This window comes from Homo sapiens, chromosome 7 (genome assembly GCF_000001405.40).
Source record: "Homo sapiens chromosome 7, GRCh38.p14 Primary Assembly".
NCBI classification, from domain to species: Eukaryota; Metazoa; Chordata; class Mammalia; order Primates; family Hominidae; genus Homo; species Homo sapiens.
This window is the reverse complement of record NC_000007.14, coordinates 133,452,744-133,475,930: the sequence shown is the minus strand read 5'-3', so window position 1 is coordinate 133,475,930 and position 23,187 is coordinate 133,452,744. Positions and strand designations below refer to the sequence as shown.

General features: G+C 36.1%; 1 protein-coding gene across 11 annotated transcripts in view, besides 2 other annotated features; it reads right to left on the bottom strand.

Moving 5' to 3' along the window:
* The window catches only part of EXOC4 (exocyst complex component 4), an 847,874-nt gene that overhangs the window by 625,021 nt on the left and 199,666 nt on the right, over positions 1-23,187 (bottom strand). For all 11 annotated transcript variants that reach the window (XR_007060126.1, XR_007060125.1, XR_007060123.1 and 8 more), the window contains exon 8: positions 458-603. Coding sequence is in view for 3 of the 11 variants with exons in the window: in NM_021807.4 (NP_068579.3) it covers positions 458-603 (146 nt within the window). In the remaining 8 variants the exon portion in view is untranslated. The remainder of the gene's footprint in view (positions 1-457; positions 604-23,187) is intronic.
* Positions 18,590-18,790: a silencer, noted in NCBI's record as "peak6735 fragment used in MPRA reporter construct". NCBI's record gives its function as "represses an SCP1 promoter by STARR-seq MPRAs in K562 erythroleukemia cells {active_cell/tissue: K562}" and the evidence as "EXISTENCE:reporter gene assay evidence [ECO:0000049][PMID:32103011]".
* Positions 19,110-19,310: a silencer, noted in NCBI's record as "peak6734 fragment used in MPRA reporter construct". NCBI's record gives its function as "represses an SCP1 promoter by STARR-seq MPRAs in K562 erythroleukemia cells {active_cell/tissue: K562}" and the evidence as "EXISTENCE:reporter gene assay evidence [ECO:0000049][PMID:32103011]".

The window sequence follows — 23,187 nt, the reverse complement described above, 5'->3', positions numbered from 1 at the left end:
AGATAAAAAAAAACCCAGATTGTTCTTTTATTAAACAAGTAACCACATAAGGCCCAATACTGCTTAGCTAGAAACATTTGCATAACTTTATTAACAAAGGTTGTTTCTTGGCTCTTGGGGCCTTTTCAAGGCTAATATATTTCATTTCCTTTCATTTCATATAAAATTCCCCAGAAACAATTGGGGAGTTTCATTTCTCTTAATTTTAAATAAAACTCCCCTGAAACAAGTTCAAGAAATTTTTATTAGGAGTTCCAGGTAGTCCAGTAACTGTACCCAAAACAACCACTTCACCTGACAGAAAACAAAAATAAATAAAACTCAACATATATTCACTTCCTCTAAATTACTTCAATCAACTTAAGCTAGACAAAGTTATGGCTATTAATAAAGTAGGAAGTCATCTTACTTCAGTCTAACAATTCTTAAAACCTATTAACAGCAGAATAATACTTACTTGAAAAGAGAATTTTTTGGCCTTTGAGGTTTCTTCTTGGCAAAAAAGGCTGCAAACTCTCGTCCAGTGCTGGCATAGCTTAGTTGAGCTGATGGTTCAGAGGCCGTACGAGTATTTTTCATATCCAAGTACTCAGTTAATAGCATCTGTACAACCAGATAAATCAGTTAATGTTAATATACACATTTTTAATGTGCAATTAAGAAAAACTATTTTAAAACCATGCAAATCTAATTCTAAAACCAACATTCAGGAGTATATTAACCTGGTCATTCATTTTCCAAGTTGGGGATCTAAGAAAAGATTCATTATAGCTAGTAAGTCATCTACTTGTTCCTATTCATGGGGAAGAGGCGGGGTGGGCATTTGAACATGGGAGTAAAAGGAACGTTTTTATTGGGTATCTACTATGTGCTAGATATTGTGCTGAGTGAGTTAATCAACATTCCTCTTTAATCACAATTTAATCCTCATATTCCAAACTACAGCAGCATTAGCAGCAATGCCATAACATTTACTGAGGGCTTACTATGATGCAGGCAACATGCTAATCCATGTAAAATGTATTATCTCTTTTAAAGCACAAAATTTTATCAGATAAATTCACAGATTATAGATAAAGAAATGGGGCTTACAGAGGTTCAAGACCTGTAAAGTGATCCCTAGTGTACTAGGGAGTGCATGCTGTTACCACTCACTATTACACATAGTGGATAAATACTAAAACAAACCTGCAAAAAGAGATATAGAAAGGCCACAGGAAGCTACGAAGTCCTGACCTACAAAGAATTTCCATAGCCACTACTCATATTGAGAGCTTCAACACAAGAAAAGCAGCTGCTTTTTAAAAAATCAACTACTAGCTAGGCACAGTGGCTCATGCCTGTAATCCCAGCACTTTGGGAGGCTGAGGTAGGAGGATCACTTGAGGCCAGAAGTTCAAGACCAGCCTGACCAACATAGTGAAAGCTCATCTCTACTTTAAAAAAAAAAAAAAAATTGGCTGGGCATGATGGTGCACACCTGTAGTCCCAGCTACTTGAGAGGCTGAGGCACAAGAATCACTTGAACCAGAGGTTGCAGTGAGCCGAGATCATGCCACTGCACTCCAGCCTGGGCAACAGGGTGAGACTCCGTCTCAAAAAAATTAAAAAGTTAAAAAATCTACTACTGCCAATAGGTTCTACTTATAAAATCAATCCAATTTAAAATCTAAGAATTATCACAAGGCAAAAACCCATAATAGATACACTAAAAACAAAAGGCAGCAAATTAAAACATGCTACCAGAGAGATCATGTAACCACAAAGAAAGATAATAAGAAGGAAGAGTTATAAAACAACTAGAAAACAAGTAACAAAATGCCAGCAGTAAGTCCTTACCTATCAATAATAACACAATGTAAGTGAACTAAATTCCCTGATTAAACACACACAGTAGCTGAATGAATTAAAAAACAAGACCCAGGCCAGGCGCAGTGGCTCACACCTGTAATCCCAGCACTTTGGGACTTTAGGAGGCCGAGGCAGGCAGATCACGAGGTCAGGAGATCGAGAGCATCCTGGCTAACACAGTGAAACCCTGTCTCTACTAAAAATACAAAAAATTAGCCGGGCATGGTGGTTGGTGCCTGTAGTCCCAGCTACTCAGGAGGCTGAGGCAGGAGGATGGTGTGAACCCAGGAGGCGGAGCTTGCAGTGAGCAGAGATCGCGCCTCTGCACTCCAGCCTGGGCGACAGAGTGAGGCTCCGTTTTAAAAAAAAAAAACAAGACCCAGTAATATTGGTGCATTCAAGAAACTCACTTCGCCTATAAAGACACACTGACTAAAAGTAAAGATATGGAAAAAGATATTCCATACAAATGGAAAACACAACAGAGTAGGATTTGCTATACCAATACCAGACAAAATAGACTTTAAGTCAAAAACTGTACAAAAAGACAAAAAAGGTCATTAATAAAGGGGTCAATACTGCAAGAGAATACAACAATAGTAAATATATATGCACCTGACACCAGAGCACCCAAATAAGCACAGGTCTATAGGTGGCAGTAAATGTACTTTATTTAATTTTCTGTCCAATAAGGATTGCACTTGGAAAATACAAAACATGTCAACAGACTGGTAAATATTTTTTATTTATTTATGAAGCCACTAGAGTATTATTCGGTATGTGGATGAAATAATATAATGATAAGTACTAGCTCTGTTAATACATCACCCAAACTACCCAATGATCAGGGAGAATATTGAGTTGGGTCTCTAGTAACAACTCAACTCAGGGACTAAATTATACTGTATATTTGGCACTGCTGCTAATAAGATTTTCAGCAATTTGTGATCAAAAAAAGACTGGTAAACCAGAAAAGAATTTCAAATTAATATAACACAGAAAGATGTATATAAATGCATTGTTTCACTCATATTTCAGATGGTTAACATCAACATGACAGAGTGATGTTTCTACCAAAGCATGAAAATACACTAATCCAAGTAACTCTTTTGAGGCACTTGCTGTTCTAGAATCCAATGACTGGGGCCTTGTATAATAAAATACTGACCTCAAAACACAGGTATTTTAAGATCATTTTTCTTTTTCTCATCATCAGTAAAGTCCCCTTATCATCAGTAAAGTCCCCTTAATTGTTACCTCTCAGCATTGTTAGTCTATTCCTATCCACCCACTTCTCCTTTCAATCTGCAAACACACACTTTTCCTACTTTCTCAACAAAAATCTTGCATTGGTCCTTATGCTTTATCTGTAATCTTATTTTCCTTCTGTCTTTGAGTCCCAAACTTTAAAAAGTAGCCTTTACATCTACTGTTCCCTTTATCACAATGTGATTTATTCCTCATTTCTCTCCTGAGCTCCAGTCCCACATCTGTGACTGCATGCTTGATATATATTCACATATTTCACTAAGAAAACCAACTCCTCTGAAACCTAAATCATCTTCCCATAAAAACATTAATTCCTTCTGTCTCCTTTTTGTTTGTTGGTAGTTTCTTATTTTCACTACTTTCCAGGTTTAAAACTTCAGAACCATCTTTTGATACATTTCCACATCCTTTGTGTCCATAAGGGAATTAGTCCTCAAGATCATTAATGACTGTTCCTCAACTCCCTATTAGTTTGCCCACTCCTGTCCATTTTGACAGCCACCAACTTAGTTCAATTCATGTAGTTTTCATTTAATTTTCTGCCTCTCATCTCTTTCCCTTCCAGTCCTTCTCACGTAATATCAACAGACTGACAGTCCTAAAACACTGCTGCTATCATCAGAAGGCTACTCCTTTCATCATCTACAACATTCTGACTTTAGTACATATTTCCAAGCGTATCTTATTCTCTCAAACGTAAACCCAACACTGCAATCAAAATTACTTAACTCTTCCCTGAATATATGTGGGCATTCTCATTTCTAGAAGGCCTAATCTGGATTACCTTCTCTCCTAAATAAATACCAACAAATACTTCCAAGAATAATTCCAGTGTTTTTTCTTCAAGGAGCCCTTGCCAGGCCACTCTAGTTGGCTATACCCTTTCCTGAACTCCTAAAACACCCATTTTCTACATCATTCAATAAGTATTCATCAAAAACTGCCTGATATTATTAGTCCTTATTTAATAATAAAGACATCTTACTACCCCCAATTTATATGTTCCTTAAAGCATTACATTTCTTTACTTCCACCATAGGGCCATGCAACAGACCAGCAAATCAAAAAAATACAACAAATTGCTGAACTTTTTAAAAAAAGCATAAAGAAGCTTTAATGAATATGTTGTTATATGCAAATTAAAAAGTCTTCAAAGTAGAATGAACTCTGTAAATTAATCCTCAGTACAAAAATCTACAATACAAATAAAATTTAAAAGAAAAAGGATGGGTGTAATTTTTAACCACAGGCTAAATGTTTGCAATTTGTGTTTGTTTGCTTCATTGTTTGCCTCTCTTGTCTAATACCATTCATCACCAGCTGGAAAATACTATTTTAAATTTAGGTAAAGTTTTATTTTGATATTCAAATTAGTAAAGGGATTTTTTTTTTTTTTTTGAGATGAAGTCTTGCTCTTGTAACCCAGGCTGGAGTGCAATGGCACGATCTTGGCTCACTGCAACCTCCACCTCCCAGGTTCAAGCGATTCTCCTGCCTCAGCCTCCCGAGTAGCAGGGATTACAGGCACCTGCCACCACGCCCAGCTAATTTTTGTATTTGTAGTAGAGACTGGGTTTCACCATGTTGGCCAGGCTGGTCTTGAACTCCTGATCTCAGGTTATCTGCCTGCCTCAGCCTCCCAATGTGCTAGAATTACAGGTGTGAGCCAGCACACCCGGCCAGAATTTTTTAGTATCTCAAAGAACAAAAAAGCCTTTATTTCTAGGATACCTGAAATTTATTTGAATTGGGCTAAATCTTCTACTACACAGTCTTGACACAAACATCAGATGCCTAGTATTAAAATATAACTATATAATTTATTGATGATTCCACATCATGGTGGATAATGTACTGCACCTTCCAAATTGTATATATTCTAAGCACACACCTATGGGTTCAAATTTTAATTTTCATAAAAGTAAACAAGCTATTCTGATTAACATTTGCGTGAAGAAAATCACCCAAGATTGAAATTCTGGAACAAAGAGCATTACTTACAATATCAAATACATTCTGTCTACAGAAAATGTGCAGGATCCCACATTCTTGTTGGCTCTCAATTCCTTCATATCTTAGATACTAATCTCTTTACTATTTTTAAGTACCATGAATTTCTATTTGTTGTTCATCAAGAGCCCCAAAAATAATAGTCAAAATTGATGGGTGTGTCAACTTAAAAGGTATAATCTGTAAAAACTAAAGGCAAGAAACAACAACAACAACAAAACAGTTGGAAAGCACTTGGAAGTCTACATATTCCAGTGATATCATCATTCACTGTTTTTTTCTGAGGACCTATTACGTTGAATGGCTCTGTGGTCAAAATAAAGATACAGAGTGTTTTAAAGAACATATAAACTAGGTTGGTTAGGCATCTCTTCTGCTATATTTGATTAGTAGTTCCTAAGATGTTACTTAGCAATCTCACGGTATTAAAGCAGGACAAAAATTTTGAGATTTATAACTTGCTAACATTGGTAACATCATTCTGAATTAATTCCTCATTTACCATTTAATCTCCTTTAACCTTTTGCCTATAACTGTTTGTGGTTATACATGCAGAGGTTTTTTTTAAATAAATATGAGAGTCATAGGCTTAGAATTAACACATCTTCTGTCTTTAGCTTCTCCATTTATCCCAGCTACTCAATTAAACACTCAGATCTCTGAGGTATTTGATGTGGTAGATCCCTTTCAGGCAACTTTTCAGCTTACAAAACCCTCTCCTCATCTAAGAACTATTCCCCAACCACATAGTGGACTCTGGTAGCCATGCTTATAACCTGTGATTCCACCCTCTCAGCCACAGCCAAAATGTTCACCAGGGAGACAACCAACCCCTAATTAGCCAGTTAATTATCTTTCTCAGGAATGTGTTGGGGAATACATTCTCTACTGGCCATGTAAAGGAGGAGATGTAAATTCTTTGGGGCAACCACCTTTTACAGATAGAAAAATCAAAGAAGTCAATCCGCAGAGGGAGAATAAAGAATGAACTAGCTGGCCAGAGAGAGAAATAGGAAACCCAGAGGAGACAGACTTGAACACTGCAAACTTTAAATGTTTTCCATAGTGTTATAGGTCTCACATCCAGTTGCTGATAGGGTCAAAGATTTTCTACCCTATGAGTTTGCAGTATGTCTTTATAGTATCTAATATATCTTCCTTATAATAGCTTAAATGAGTATTTGTTCCTTCACTAAGATACCTATGGATTGATGAGTATATACTAATATGAATCTATTGACATTTATACCAAAATTACTGTCTTTGCAAAATACTGGCATCTCATAAAAACAGGAGTAGTGGTTTGCACAAATTTCATTCTGTACAACTATGAACCCAATTTTCCTTTTTGTTTTTTTCTTTCTTTCATTTATTTATTTATTTTTAAGATGGAGTCTCACTCTGTCATCCAGGCTGGAGTGCAGTGGCACGATCTCGGCTCACTGCATCCGCCACCTCCCAGGTTCAAGCGATTCTCCTGCCTCACTCTCCCGAGTGGCAGGGATTACAGGTGCATGCCACCACACCAGGCTAATTTTTGTATTTTTAGTAGAGATGGGGTTTCACCGTGTTAGCCAGGATGGTCTCGATCTCCTGACCTCGTGATCCACCTGCCTCAGCCTCCCAAAGTGCTGGGATTACAGGCGTGAGCCACTGCGTCCTGCCCCAATTTTCTTGACTACTAACTTCACGTATTCAGTGATTTACATTAAGCCATAGTATATTGGTCCTCTTTGATGAGTCTGATAATAGACTGCTTCTCATGACATGAGAAATAGTAACATGAAAAAATTGTCTCAAGCTCTCAACATGAACTAAGACTCAACTTCTCTTGGGCAATATTTTAAATGTGCCTATATTAAATAATGGAATTTTCAATAACTTGCTCTTTTAAAATGCAAGTGCCCAAGAGTTTGTATTCTGGGTACAGCAAATCAGTTCTCATTTAACTGGTCCTTATGCTGATAACTGTAAAAGCCAAAAAAAATACTAAAAAATAAGAATTTGAAGACCCTAGAGGGGAATCAAATTCAGCAGAAACTGACAGCTATGATCCCTGGAAGAAACAACGGAGCACAGTAGGCGAATTCCTCTGGCTTTCTCCCAGAAGGCGCCTCCCGGTTTTCATGGAGCAAGGGAAGAGCCCAAGCAGAAAGTATAGTCTTACCCAATGGAGGATGTCTCAAAGGAATTTGAAAAGCGCAGGAGACAAAATCAGGGTAATATACCCACCAAATTATAACCTTGATTCCTGAAAACATTACAGCCAAGAGACTGAAATAATATAATGATATTTTTAAATTAGAATGTCCATTTTAAATTACAAAAACTTATCGAGTTTTCCTCATAGAGCTACTATGAATAGAATGTTAATAACAGAAAAAATAACAGAAAAAGTTATTTTTTTCAATAGAGCAGTCTAATTTCCCCGTTGTATAACCTAAAATATTCTGCAGTAAGGAAAGGAAAGGAAAAATTCTTCATTTTGAAAATAAAGCAGATGCCTGCTCAATTATACTCATTGTCAATGGCAGTTGCACAATTAAAACCACTAACGCTATGGTCTTGTGAATGGTTCATTATTGTTCAGAATAAAACAAATCAAAAACTTCCAAGAGTACACATGTATTTTTGGTCCTGTATCGAACATCTGATCAAACTACTCATGATTTTTTTTCTTTTTCTCAAGAGAATAGCTCTTAGCAAAGAAAGCCCAGTTTAATAGCTTCCAAATGTTTTCATTCATTTTAAATTATATATTTATTTAACACAGAAAATATGCAAAGTATTGTGCTAGATATAAAACCAGGACTCAAAAATAAGTCCTTCCCTCAGTGTATTTATCTATTAATTGAGACACACATGAATGAGTACAATACAAAGGAGAAAGTGGTAAAACATCAGGACAAAAATATGGCTAAGAGCATTTATAGGAGGACAAGATGGCTCCTAACTAGGGCAACAAAAAAAGCCTTCAAGATCATGGAACTATAGAAGGACATAAATTGAATCTTAGAATGTGTGAAAACAAACAAACAAACAAAAAAAAATGAAGGCACAGAACAGAACAAGCAAATACATAGTGATGGGAAAATTTAGGGCATCTTCAGTAAATAACGAATATTTCAGGCGACATTAAAATGACCAACAAGAGGTAAGCCTGGAAAGGGAGTACACTGACAAACTTCCAAGAATCTTAAAAAAAAAAAAAAAAAAGAATCTGTAATGACAAATTACGAACTGAAGCCAAATACAAAATGAGGCAATGAAAAAGAGTTTTAAACAGGCAAATGAAATGGTGATAAATATGCTGTATGTAAATTGATCTGACAGTATACAAAATTATTGACTGGAAGGAAATGGGATTAGGGGCAAAAATGAATGATCAGGAAAATCCTATAAAGGAAGGAGAGCAAGAAGAGACAACCGACCAAGACAGCTCAATTTAAAAAATTAAAAGGTTTTAAACTAAAGCAGTGGCAATAAGATTATACAATTAGGACAAATTTAAGAGTCAATGCAGAGAAGATAAAATGAACAAAATTTAATCAGTCATTCTGCAAAAAAAAAAAAAGGAGAAATAAAAGCAATGGCTAAAAGATTGCTCATTTGAGGGATTTTAAAAATTATGGTTCTATAAACAATAATTAAGAATGCATGAAAAATGGGTTTCATAGCACATGGCGACAATAAATTTTGTTTGGAATATACGCCCGTGAACTTGAAATACATAATGTGAATAGGTTAAGATTGATGGTATTTCCATGATCTATAAATTAATAAATTTGCATTAGGTCAAAAAGTTCCTTGATGATGCTAGTTGCGGGTTTCTCACAAGTGCCTTTTATTAGGTTGAGTATGTTTCCTTTTTTGATAAATAATCAATGGAGGTCAAGTGCTTTTCTATATCTATTGAGATGATTATGTGACTTTGGTTCTTTATTTTATGGTAATACATTGACTTTTAAAATAAATCCCAATGAATCATGGTATAATACAGTTTATATGTCGATACATTCAATTTGCTAATATTTTGTTCAACATTATTACACTTATGTTTGTAAGGCTGCTCTACAGTTTTCTATAATACTTTGGCTTTGTTATCAGGGTAATACTGGCCTAGTAGGATGCATTGGAAACTGTTTCTCTATTTTCTGAAAGAGTTTGCAAAGGACTGGTATTATTTCATCTTTAAATGTTTGACAGAATATTTGTGTGAATTATGTATGTGCAGGAAAATTTTTAATTACTAATTTATTTGTTATAGGACAATTCAGATTTTCTGTTTCTTCTTGAGTCAGTTTTGGTACTTTGTGTCTTTGTAGAAATTGGTCTGTTTCATCTACATCGTCTGATTGGCATATCATAGTAGTCTCAGAATCCTTTTAATTTCTGTAGAGCCTGTAGTTATATCTCCTCTTTCATTTCCTGATTTTGGTATTCTTTAGACTTCTCTCTTTTGGTATTCTTTAGACTTCTCTTTTTTAATTGGTTGGTCTACTTAAAGATATATCAATTTTTGATCTTTTCAAAAGACCTCTATTTGGTTCCACTTTTTTTTCCTACAGTTATCCTGATTTTTATTTCATTGATTATCACTTTACCTTTATTATTTCCTAACCTCTGCTTGCTTTGGCTTTGAGTTTTCTCCATTTTTTTTTTTTAGACAGAATTTCACTCTTGTTGCCCAGGCTGGAGTACAATGGCATGATCTCAGCTCACTGCAACCTCCACTTCCTGGGTTCAAGTGATTCTCCTGCCTCAACCTCCTGAGTAGTTGGGATTACAGACGCCCACCACCAAGCCCAGCTAATTTTTTGTATTTTTAGTAGGGACAGGGTTTCACCATGGTGGCCAGGCTGATCTTCAACTCCTGACCTCTGGTGATCCACCCACCTCAGCCTCCCAAAGTGCTGGGATTACAGGTGTGAGCCACTGCCCCCGGCCGAGTTTTCTCCTTTTTCTAGCTCTTGGGATGAAAACATATGATTATTTAGGTCTTTCTTCTGTTACCCATGGTATATTCAGAAGTTTGTTGTCTTATTTCCAAATATTTGGGGACCTCCAAATTTCTTCCCTTTTTTTGTTTAATTCTGTTGCGGTCAGAGGATATACTTTATGTGATTTCAATTCTTTTAAATGTATTGAGACTTACTTGATGATCTAGCATATAGACTCACATGGAGAATATTCTATATGACCTTGAGATCATCTGAATTCTGATGGTGTTGAGTGTACCATACATGTCAGTTTAAATCAGGGTGGTTAATAGTGTTGCTCAAGTCTTCTCTGTATTTTCTTCTAGTTGTTCTATTAATTATCAAAAAAGGGTATTCATTATTTAAAAAATCACCAACCATAATCACTGAATTTTCCACTACTCCTTTCAGTCAATTTTTCCTCCATGTATTTTGGATCTCATGGTATTCTGATAGTTTGTTATTTCTACTTTCACTCTTAAAAAACAAAGACAAATAAAAGAGACAATGCTAGGGGATGGCACAAAAATGGTCTCAACATCCAAAAGTATATTCCTAACTATAGCTTCAATATATTCTCTGTCCATTTCATTTAAACATATTTTAAAGTTCATTCTACCTATTTACATTGCTTTCTCCCCTTTTCTTTTCAACTTTGACTACCAAACTCTAGAATTATCTTACACCATTACAAAAACTTCAGGCTGGGTGCAGTGGCACATGCCTATAATCCTAACACTTTGTGAGGCCAAGGTGGGAGGATTGCTTGAGGCCAGGAATTCAAGACCAGCCTGGGTAACAGCAGTGAGGCCGTGTCTCTACCAAAAAAAAATTAAAAATTAGCCAGGCATGCATGTGCCTGTAGTCCCAGCCTCTTGGGAGGCTGACCTAGGAAGATCCCTTGAGCCCAGGAGTTCGAGACTACAGTGAGCTATGACTGCACTACTGCACTCCAGTCTGGGTGACAGAGTGAGACCCTAACTCCAAAAAAAAAAAAAAAAAAAAAAAAACCAACCCAACCAACAAAAAAAAAAAACTTCAGCTACTGGTTGTGTTAATTAATTCTGTAATTAACTAATTAACTAACACAATTTTACTCTGTTTTAAGACTAGTATGTTTCATCATAATATACTGACTCCTTCTATCATCACAGAGTCTTTCTCAGTCTCCTTGATTCCGATAACCTCCACTCTACTATTCTTTAGGATTCTGTGTCCTTAGGAAATACTCCATCTATAAGGTCACCAACTCTGAGTTCTCTCTGTCCACAATGTTTTATCTCCTCCAAAAAAATACAGACCTCTTCCTTCTCAGTTTGTGCTAAGATTCTGGGAAGACTGGTCTGCACATAGGAATCACTTGGAGAACTCCTTTAAAATAGAAATTCATGTGCCTGCCTTAGAACTACAAAATGAGAGAGTCATATAAAAACGCAGAAAGTCTGTGCTTGAAATCAACTCTACTACTTACTAGTTATGTGACCTTGGTCAAGTTACTTAATCTTTCTAAGCCTCACTTCCCTCATCTGTGAAACAAAAATAATAATAAAAGATAATAATAGAACTACTTCATAGAAGCACACGTTTACCTATGTAACAAACCTGCACATCCTGCAAATGTACCCTTGAACTTAAAAGTTGGAAACAGAAAAAGAACTACTTCATAGAATTAAATGAGAATTTTTTTAATAACGCATACAAAATGCTTAGTACATAACAGACTATTATTATCTATCAGGATAAGGCTCAGAAATCTGTTTCTTTTCTAATATATTCCAGTAAGTATATATCTATGATATTACCTCTCTGTGCCTCAGAACCTCAGTTCCTTCATCTGTAAAACAGAAATAATATTATCTATTTGCTAGTACTATCATCAGGGTCAAATGAGTATTCCACTTAGAACACTGCCTGAAGCACAGCAATCACTTTATAAGTGTAAGTGAGTGAATGAATGGGTAAATGAAATTATCTGTATATCTTCATCATCTCCTCAAAGTTATCATTCTTCTCCTTCTTCCTTCTTCCCCTTTGCGCTACAATAAAGATCTCAATTACTAAATCCAGGCTTCTGCTAATACTCATTCTCTAAACTTTTGGAATGTTTTCTTTCACTTCAATGAGTTTGATTACTGTATTTTACAACCTAACTACTTGAGTATTAGTAGTTAGGCTGTAAGAACTAACACTAATACTTAAGACTATTACTTAAGTATTAGTAGTTAGGCTGTAAAATGCAATTAGGAAGTAAAATATCCTAACCCTTGCTCCTGCTCTCTTCCATTTTTATTATTTCTACATTTTGAATGATTCCCAATTATCCCTCTTACATCATACTTTCTCTCAAGCTCCAAAGATACACTGCCATTGCTTGTAAGAATGTCTGGGTTCTCACATCCATATCACAGTAAGCAGGTCAAAACAATGCAGCAGATGTTTAGGAAATGCTAAAACATGGGTCCAACAAACTCAGACTGACCAGGTAAACTCTCTATTACCACCTCTCCTCAAAGGGAGGAAGGGCACCAAAGCGGGGGAGCTCCTTAATGTCATCATTCTTCTGATCACCTGGGATCAAAATGTGTAGTTAGTTGTGGCTCTTCTCAGTCTTGTTCTCCAAATCACCTGCCAAATCCTATAGATTTAATACTACACACTTCATGTCCAGTCCCTCTTCTAAATATTTTCATTCCCATACTCATCTTTCTAAATCAGGTCCTCATTATCTTTCATGCAGGTTATTAAAACAGTCTCCCACCGGCCATATCCTGCCACATGCATCTCATGACAGTCTATCCCACAACCTGCTACCAGATTAAACCCAATGTTTTCATTCCTCTGACAAGTCCTTCAATGGCTTCCTCCATGCCTTCAAAATAAATAAACCTCTATCTTATTATTATTCAGCGCCTCTCACAACACAGCCCCAATCAACCTCTATAGGATGAGTTCCTATTGGTTCTTTTTATATCATTACCAGTTGATTAAACTAAAGTTTTATTTCCTGTTTCTTAAATAACTCCCAAAGGCTTTCCATCATGTCTAAATTTATCTAATTTTTTTTCCTGCCATTAACTACTCTTCCATTTATCAAGTATGGGGAATGTTAGCTGTACATCAGGTACCAGGGAAAAATATAAAAAATTTTTTTAAAGCTTGGGGTATGAGATCAAGAAAGTGAATCTAAGTAGACTTTAATGGATCTTAGCAAACTACTTTTCCTCCATTCAGATGTTACTAATCAGAGTTACATGCATGGAGATGAAGCCAACCCCATGCATGAGGAAACAGAGGGAGGGGCTTATAGCTTTGAAGTTTTATCTTCTCATGGAGCTGTTATCTCTACCTTCTTCTTTTGAAAGTTCTTTTTGCATTGGTCTTTTTATGTCACTTCCCCTTGGTCTTACGATGACAACTATGTGCCTCTATCTTCCCATCAGATGTAAATCTGTAACATGCTGGTGGGTAGAATAAATCATTCTTATATTCTTTTCTAGCTAAAGGTCAATATCCCCCACCAGTAGGCTGACACTCAAGTTGAGGTTACAGGGAACCTGTGAGTAGCATATATCTCTAAAAGATGCCGTGTGTTTTTTCTGGTTTCCACCTACTTACTATAGTCACTTTAGATCAATGCCAGACATTAATATTTCATATTCTCACAAGGAAAAAAAGCACACATATGAAAATTGTAAAATATGTTTACAATTTATTCAACTCATATTTACAAATATATTTGTTCATATTAATATTTATACTTATACATGTCTATATACTGAGAATAAACATGAATAAGCATATTGTGTAAAAAAGCCATGATGCCTGTCTTCTGGGAGATTACCATCTATCTCGACTGTCAACTATGATATCTCACTCTAATTAAAACCCATACAGCAGTTTGTATCTCTCAAGGATTTCATTTAGCAGTTATTTGCCTTCTCTGCCGCCTGTCAGCCAGGTCTTTTCTTTGTATCTCTGTCAACATCTAGGCACAATGTCTTAAGTTACCTAAATTGAAAGTAAGATGCTCCAAACAGCAGCTACTTATTGCTGTTTCACATTCACAGATGAGCTCCTTGGAGTACAACTACAACACCCATGGTGAAACTTCAGGCTTTTTGAGGTACATTAATTTACTTACATTATAGGAATACCATTTATTACATTTCTGCTCCAATGAGATAAGTGCCACCCTAACGACCTGAAAGAGTTAATGCATCTTGGAAAAGACCCAAATTACTCTCTGGAGACAGTTTACTCAATTAAGTGGCTAAGACCCAGCATTTTCAATTAGCAGTTCAGTTACTAAAGATGATTTTATATTGTTTATCTGTAATATGTAAATATTGTCACACTTATAAAAAAATATTTGCCTATAGTTCATTCAAAATAGAATTTTTAGAGATAACAATTGCAAATTCAGATTCAACCAGCATTTACTTTGTAATTACTAAGTGCCAGGAACTGTGTTACATACCTTCTCATTGGAATTTAAGGGGAACATTGTAAAGACCAGGAGATAAGGGGGTTTGGAAGCACTGAGAGTACAAGGCACCAGAATGCAGAGACAAATACAGTGGTTCTGTTCTTTAAGGAGTCCACAAAGAACATCTCAACCGAATTCATCGCAGCCTCCTCAGAATGTGGTTAAATTCAGTAAGGTGCTCACTGTTCTGAATATATGCATATTATCCCTATCTAAAATGATCTTTCCAAAATACCTAAATTCTAGCCTTCTTTCAAGGACCAGTTCAGCCTCTAACCCATGCGCAAAACCTTCTCTGACCAATCTATCTAAAGTTATCTTTTAAATTCCTAGAGGACCCACAGATGATTATTTGGACTTGGCAATTAATCATACACTGCTGGATATTTAACTTTTCCTGTATTTCTCTCTTCACCTCCCAACACGACTTGAGCAGAAGGCATTTTATCTAATACCAGCATGTATTAGACAAAATTCATGTCTAATGATATTTCCACTGAAGTATCTTATTAAAATGCTTTATGACTGAAAGAACAACTTAATATCACCAATTTCTTGACTTCGCCAACTCTTGCATCTACAAGATTCTGTCTATGAAATAAGGAAAATTCTTCTGTCTGAAGGTGATGGTGTGTGTGTGGGTGGGTGTGTGTGTCCCTTGAGCAAGCTACTAAACTAATGAAAAATACCTGTCGACAGCTTGGTTAAACAAAAAGTAATACTATTTTATCAGTTTTGTTGCCAAAAAAAAATTTCCACATCTACAATAGGTATTTGATTATTATACATTACTTATACTGAATGTTATGTGTTAATTCAAAACATGGAATTAAACTATTTTATTTACGCACTACACTTGAGGATAGCCTAAAATTTAAAAGGTTAATCAAATGAACTGCACTGCTGGTTTAAGTAAGTTTACAGTAAATATGAAAATTCTAGCGCAAGGGTTCCTGTGCACTAGAGTTACTGGTCTGTGGCCTGTTACCAGCACCAGCCCATGGCCTGTTAGGAACCAGGCCACACAGCAGGTGAGCGGCAGGGGAGCAAGCATTATCACCTGAGCTCCACCTCCCGTCAGCAGCATTAGATTTTCACAGGAGTGTGAACCCTACTGTGAACTGCACATGCGAGGGATCTAGGTCGTGTGCTCCTTACGAGAATCTAACTAATATCTGATGATGTGAGGTGGAACAGTTTCATTCCAAAACCATCACCAGCCACCCTCCATACATGGAAAAACTCTCTTCCATGAAACTGGTCCCTGATGCCAAAAAAGGTTGGGGACCACTGCTCTAGTGTACAAAAATGGAGAACTATTTCACTGGTATTTCTGGCATCCAATTTAATTCTTTTGCATTGGCTTTCCTATTTCTTTTTTCCCAAATAATTCTTTATTTTGATCTTTTATTTAAAAGCAATATATACTCATAAAAATTTCAAAGAGGACAGAAATATGTAGATTCAAGTATACTTTAATAGCACAATCATATGCAATGTATTTAAATGATATGTCTGTTGATTTATCATTTCATTATTTTTCTCATCATTCCTCAATTTCTAATAAGCACAGTGTCCTGCATACATAAAGTACCGAAGAAATGCATTATATACATCCATCAAACAGCCCAATTCTATCAGTAAATGAAAATCACACTGTATGATTGGCAGCATATGATCCGATAAGATCCTGTCTTTCAACTATTTACTCCCCATTTTCCATTTATCACAGCACATCTCAGTTTGTAAATTATACTACGCATGTCTGCCCCAACAAACTTCACCCCCACTTCTGCCCCCATGAGGCAAGGGCAATGGCTGAACAGCTCACATGCCTGATATCAGAAATTAATTGTATACCTGGATCATTTCTCTCCAATAACTACATCTTTTAATTTTAACTCTCAAAAAGACAACCACAGCCAGGAGATGGATACAATAAATTCATCACAGTAGGATTAGCCTTGACTCCATATGACATGAGAGTGAGCATTTGTAAACATAACTAGAGAACATCCAATGGGATGAGGAACTGTGCCTAACTCGGTACTTATGAAAACCACCACAGCTCTACCTAATTATTCTCAGCTCTACCCTACCATTCAGTAACAAGCTCACACCATAAAGCAAGCCACAGAAAAGAAAAAAGACAGCATGCTATTTAAATACCAACCATGTTAACGCAGAAGCAATACCATACAATTCATGTACCTCATGTTCTCTGCTAATTGCTTAAGACATCCTGCTACAGAGAAGACAGCAACAGTAGCCAGGGCCTAGTCTTCTTTAAATGCCAGCTCTTAATAACAAACTCCAAAAAGGTCTTAATTGCATTTACCAGGAGCTCATGAACTTTAAAAGTTGTTAATCAGATTTCCATGTAAATGGAGTGACAATTAAAGGTTAAGTACAGGTTTCTGAAATTTCAGAAGTTGAGAATATATTGCCCTTCACAGGGCGGGGGTGTGGGGGTGGGAGGGAGGGCTATCAGCCTTGACAAGAACTAAACATCTTAATTAAACATGCAGAAGTACCATGCTTATTTTTACGTGAAGTTCCATTTCCAAATGTCAAAGTTAATCATGCACTTGACTAAAAATGTGCAATATTCTCTCTGCCAGAGAAATGTCTTAGTATTCTTTTCTGAGAAGACACCATCAGGTCTTCAAAAATTTCTCTGGTGTCCCCTCAGACCTGATCTCTGCCTATGCTACAAGAAAACCTGAGAAGCAGAGTGAAATGCCTTTACAGAGAGATCTTAATTGCTCTCCACCTGAGGAGTAATCTAAAACCACACGTTTTCAATCAATTCTGCTTCATATTTATGTGACTCAGGAGAAACACAAGGTGCTTCCTCCATAAATTTGCTGCACCTGTGTCCCTGGAGTGACATGTTGACAAATGAATATGACATCTCCTCAAACTCCAATAAGAATTTATGATTCTTTGAAAGAATATACTTGATCAATTATAGTGTCATCACAGTTGAAAGCAAAACCATGTCTTTGGAGTGCACTTCACAAAATTTGCGAGGGCTTGCATCCTGCAATAGGATAAATGACAATCCCAACCCCCAGAGTCAGGTCCTTATTCCAGCTCTAATACTTAATCTCAGATTCTCCAGCTTCAGAGGAGCTAGGTAAAACAACCAATAAGTGCAATAATGAATGAGATGAATAGCTGCGTAGTGGTCTAGACAAAATAACTACAGAACTCAAAGTCAGAAAATATTTGTAGTGTGATATCTAGCCAGTAAAAATAACTTTTCTTTAGGTATACATTTATTAAGAAAAACACCCCTTCTGTCAACCCCACTATTGGTCTCTGATTATACTTCTAATTCTTCCTTCTTTTATTTCTTCTAAAAGTCTGAGAAAAATTCGGTGTCTGCTAAATTCAAGTACCAACAGCACACTTTAGAAGAAAAGCATACATTGTTAGCATTATTACTGAAGCTATACCTACTACTGTACTATGATGATTAAATTTGGCCACAGAACTAACCAAAATACCTAAGGTTTAAAGAAATCCATAAGTGAAAAAGTAATACAATATAATGGTTATTCAATTAAAGGTGAAAAAAGAAGAGGAAGCAGAGAAGGGAAGAATTTTTAAATCATTATTTTCAGAAAATGTCTCTGCCAGATTGTGAAGTCCTTCCGGCAGAGTCCCTGGTTGCCTCTCAAGGATAATGGGATACACCAACTCTAAGGAGAAAGGTTCCCTCTTCCTAAGAATAGCATTTCAGAGTTTTAAATCTGATTCAATCCAACAAGTATTAAATTTTGATACGCAACCTAATTGAGAAAATGATCCCACTCAATATGGCGAGCTACCTAAGGAAGATGGGTGTGCTGAGCTATATACTGCACTTGCTTCTTGCTGGTGCCCTTTCAAGATCAACAGCCTATAGTAAGGCTATTGATCAGGAGTTATGAGACTAGTCTGTGAGACAGAATTTCTCAGTACAAAAATGTCTCATCCCTTTGTATTTCCCCAAAGAAGCTTGCACTGAGTCTTTTTGTGTGTGTTCAATCAATAACAACCTCTTATCAACCATTACCACCACAACATACACCACGGGCCTCTCATCAGACTGACCTCTCCTGTGTCTCACAAAATTAAGTAAGCTCATTCCAACATCTGTGCCTTTATTCATTGAGTCCTACTATTCTGAAAAGCCATGTCATTTCCCTTCACTAAATCAAATTCAACCACCTTTCAAGGCCCAACACAAATATTAACGTTTCACTAAAGTTTCTGTTCATTCGACGAGCATTTATTGAATGCAGGGCACTATGTTAGGTATTGCCCACGAAAAGATGATTAAGATAGTTTATGCTCTGAAGGAGCTCTCAGTGTTCTTCAGTGGTCTTCCATTCCATTGAACTACATTTAGTTTCTCTGCTGGCTTATACAAATAATCCTGCAAATAAAATTATCCTGAAGTGTTATCTGTGTTCTTCAAATTCTATGGCCTATTCCTGTAATTTCCTTTATTAGCTTAAACAGCATTTATGAGTGCTTTCTGTGTGCTACACACCACAAGTATCTTCGTCACCTAGGTGATCTGTGGAGTGACTCAATTCTCCAAACCACCTATCATGTCCTTCATCCTGGGCTCTGTGATACCTGATTCCATACTGGCAGGAGCTGCAGCCCAAAAATGAGCTCAGAGAACTTGGGAAGGTACACCTGCCTTCAAGTTCAAGATGATTATCCACACCATTCAGGGGAGTTTGCAGAGTTCAATTCATGATGTTTCCTAAGTTTTCTCATATCAGACATTGATTAGATAGTACAGAATGTGGCTTACTGTTATTTACCAAAATACCAGGGGAGTTCCATCTCAAGTTTTCTCCCTCCTAAGCCAATTCAATGATATGATCGCATGAATGTGAATTATGGTAGTGTGCTCCATAAAGGCAACAAAGTTTACGATTCCTGATACTGTGGCACTTTCACACAGTGGAGATATAATTATTGCCCATTTTGTTGACCTTGGTGCAGCCATTCTTTCTTCTGGGCACATAAAACTAAAACCCAAATATTTTCCAGCCACATGGTGACCTCTCTAGAATCTGGTGATCCCTATAAATACAGTGATTCTAGGATTCAGTCACAGTAACTTGCAAGAAGAAATTAGGATCATTAATGATAATGGATAATGATAATGGCTGGAATAGAGGTGCTTTCACCTCCTTTGCATTTACCTTCAACTGATAAAAATGTACTTATCTTTACAAAATAGCCTCCATGAATAAAAGCAGAATACACGTATATTGATTACAGAATGAAGCATATCAACCAAAGACATTCTGGCTTATTCCAAGGTGGAAGGAGACAAACAGCTCACATAATTTATTCCTTATAATTTATTTTCTCAGAGGGTAAACCTATTGCAATAATTCTCAGTTAATAAATAATAAAGGTGTATGATTTGGGATACAATAGACATGGCAAGAGTTGCACTGCTTATGTTGCAAGAAGTTCTGTTACTTTTGATGTTTGAAACATCACTAGCACTACAGATAGATCGTTCAATCTTTAAGTCAAAATAGCAGTAACTTAAAACCCATAAATCTATGGACTGCCAATTATGCATATTATATATGCAGTTTTAAAGCTCTAGTCAGCACTTATTCATTGGACAACCATTAGCTCAGCTTTATCCATGATATTGGTTCATCCTACCACTTGAATTTTCAGATTTATCAACTCTAGAACAGCTTTCAAAGAAGCCTAGAACTCTCTATAATAAACAGGTTCTACAAGTAACAAATCTAGAAAATAAACTTATTTTGTCTCATATATCAACCATGACATTTTAACTGAAAATCTACGATTAAAATCTAGATGGTGGTATTCCTAAACTTTGTCAGATAAAATTTGATAAGAAAATAATACTACTAAATAATACAGCAGTCCCATCCCCACCTCCCCTAACCCCTGGGCCCATGGTTTTGCTTTCCACGGTTTTAGTCACCCATAGTCAACCACAGTTCAAAAAAATTAAATGAAAAATTACAGAAATAATTAATAAGTTTTTAATTGCATGCTGCTCTGAGTAATGTGATGAAATCTTGTACTGGCCCACTTCACCCCTTCCTCAAATATCTTAAGAAAGAGTATAACTCACATAACTTTCACTACAGTATATTGCTATCATTGTTCTATTATTAGTTATTGTTGTTAATTTCTCACTCTAATTTATAACTTAAACTTTTTATTTATTTTATATATATTTTTTGGAGACAGGGTCTCACTCTGTTGCCCAGCTGGAGTGCAATGGCAAAATCTTGACTCACTGCAGCCTCAACCTCCCCAGCTCAAGCAATCCTCCCGCCTCAGCCTCCCAAGTAGCTGTGACCACGATACATGGCTAATTTTTATATTTTTTGTAGAGATAGGTTTTCACCACGTTGCTCAGGCTTGTCTTGAACTCCAGAGCTCAAGTGATCCACCTGCCTCGGCATCCCAAAGTGCTGGGATTACAGACAGGTGCCACTGTGTCTGGCCTATAACTTAATCATAGTATATAGAGTGGTTCTGTACTATCTTTAGTTTCAGGCCTCCACTGGGGGTCCTGGCACATATCCCACACGGATAAGGGAGGACTACTGTAATCACATATTGCCATCTTAGAAATAAGTTCTATTATTAGCAAGGAAGAAATTTTGTTTCATAAACTTTGGCCTAACAAGAAACAAAGCTACTCCTCAGAAGAAATGAAGGCAGTGGTCAGGCGTGGTGGCTCACGCCTATAATCCCAGCACTTTGGGAAGCCAAGGAGGGCAGATCACTTGAGGCCAGGAGTATGAGACCTGCATGGACAACATGGCGAAACCCCATCTCTATTAAAAATACAAAAACCAGCCAGGCATGGTGGCGCACAACTGTAATCCCAGCTACTTGGGAGGCTGAGGCACAAGAATCGCTTCGCCAGGAGGCAATGGCTGCAGTGAGCCAAGATCACACCATTGCACCCCAACCTGGGCAACACAGTAAGACTTTGTCTCAATAAAATAAAATAAATAAAATAAATGAAAGCAGTGTTGGAGAAATTATTTAAAATATAATACTAAACAAAAGGTTCTTTTAGTATGAAAAAGATGTCCTTTCAGAAATGAATTAAGGAAAAGATTTCCTTATCTACTGGAAACTGAATATTTATAACGTTTTCAGTCTAGTTATGTGTGAGTAGGGGTGAAACTGTAATAGTAGCATGTCTTTAATTTTCTTTAAGATTGACAATTAAAAGCAATCTGAATCACAGAATTTAAAACTTAATCATAAATTGTCTTGAAATGCCAGTGCTGTTAAAATTATATTAGTTTGATCTCAACTAGGAAGCAATCTAAGAACAATATTGTGTCTTACACTTCTTCTTTATCTCTTGTATTATGTATAGAGGTGACTTAATTCCAGTGACATGAATGAAGCATTTTTTATATACAAAGAAAATCATCTAGCTGTCACAATAAAGTTATGCACTTAACATATAACATATAATTCTGAACTGTGTAAGAGTTACATATTATAAGGAAAACTTTCTTCAGCAAAGAATAATCTGTTTATTAAAACAGAAGTAATTAACCAAGAGACGATAACTTTAGTAAAAAGAATACTCTCTTTAATACATGCTTAAAAGGTATGCATAAGCTTATGCAAACTTACATAAAGTTATATGTTTATGATTAATTTTCTCTAGAAAATATTGTTAAAGTAGATACAATAGGAAAAAAAACAATTAAGGAGATTCTCTGGATACTTTCTAGAAAAGTAGTCTGAAAGTTAATTACTAATTAAAGAGAAATGACAGTTTAATTAAGTTAAAACAAAATGTTTAAATTTTTCAATACACATTTTCATTCTTTAAATGATTACAGATCTGCGTGCTATTATCCAAGAGCAAATATAGAGAGAAAATGTAAGATTTCTTTTGATACTTTGATAACAATATAAAGCAAATGCAATCTCCAACAGAAAGTAAGTATCACTGTTCCATGCTACCAATGATCTCCCAGAATTTTCACTATGGAACTTTCTACTATATTCCATGCCTATATTCCTACTATAGACGCTGGCCAACCAATGATATTAAAATCACTGGGCCTTACTGTGAGAAGTAGAAATATATGTCTGCCTTTACATAAAATGATTTATATAACCTTGCTGTATTATTTATAATTCACAGCGATTTTTATATTCTCACAGTCTACAGATTTTTCTTAGTGATTTATGTTAAGCTCTTTTAATGCCTCGTTCATATTTATGGTTTATTCTCCTCCCAGAAAAGGTAACAATCCATTCCATGTATAAATGTCATGATAAAACTTACAGACTGGCAGAGGGAGGACAAAAGGAGACTTTACATAAGGGAAAGGAGATTAATGAACAACTGGTGATGCCATTATAAGGCCCTTTTCACATGGAACAAATACAAAATGGACTATCGAATTCCACAACTAACCTCACATGACAGAATTTTGAACACACATATATTTCAAATGTCCATATGTTGTTCATTTGCCCAGAGTGAACACAAAGCTGAGTAGTTTACATATGTAACATTCTGTTGGCTATTCTGTC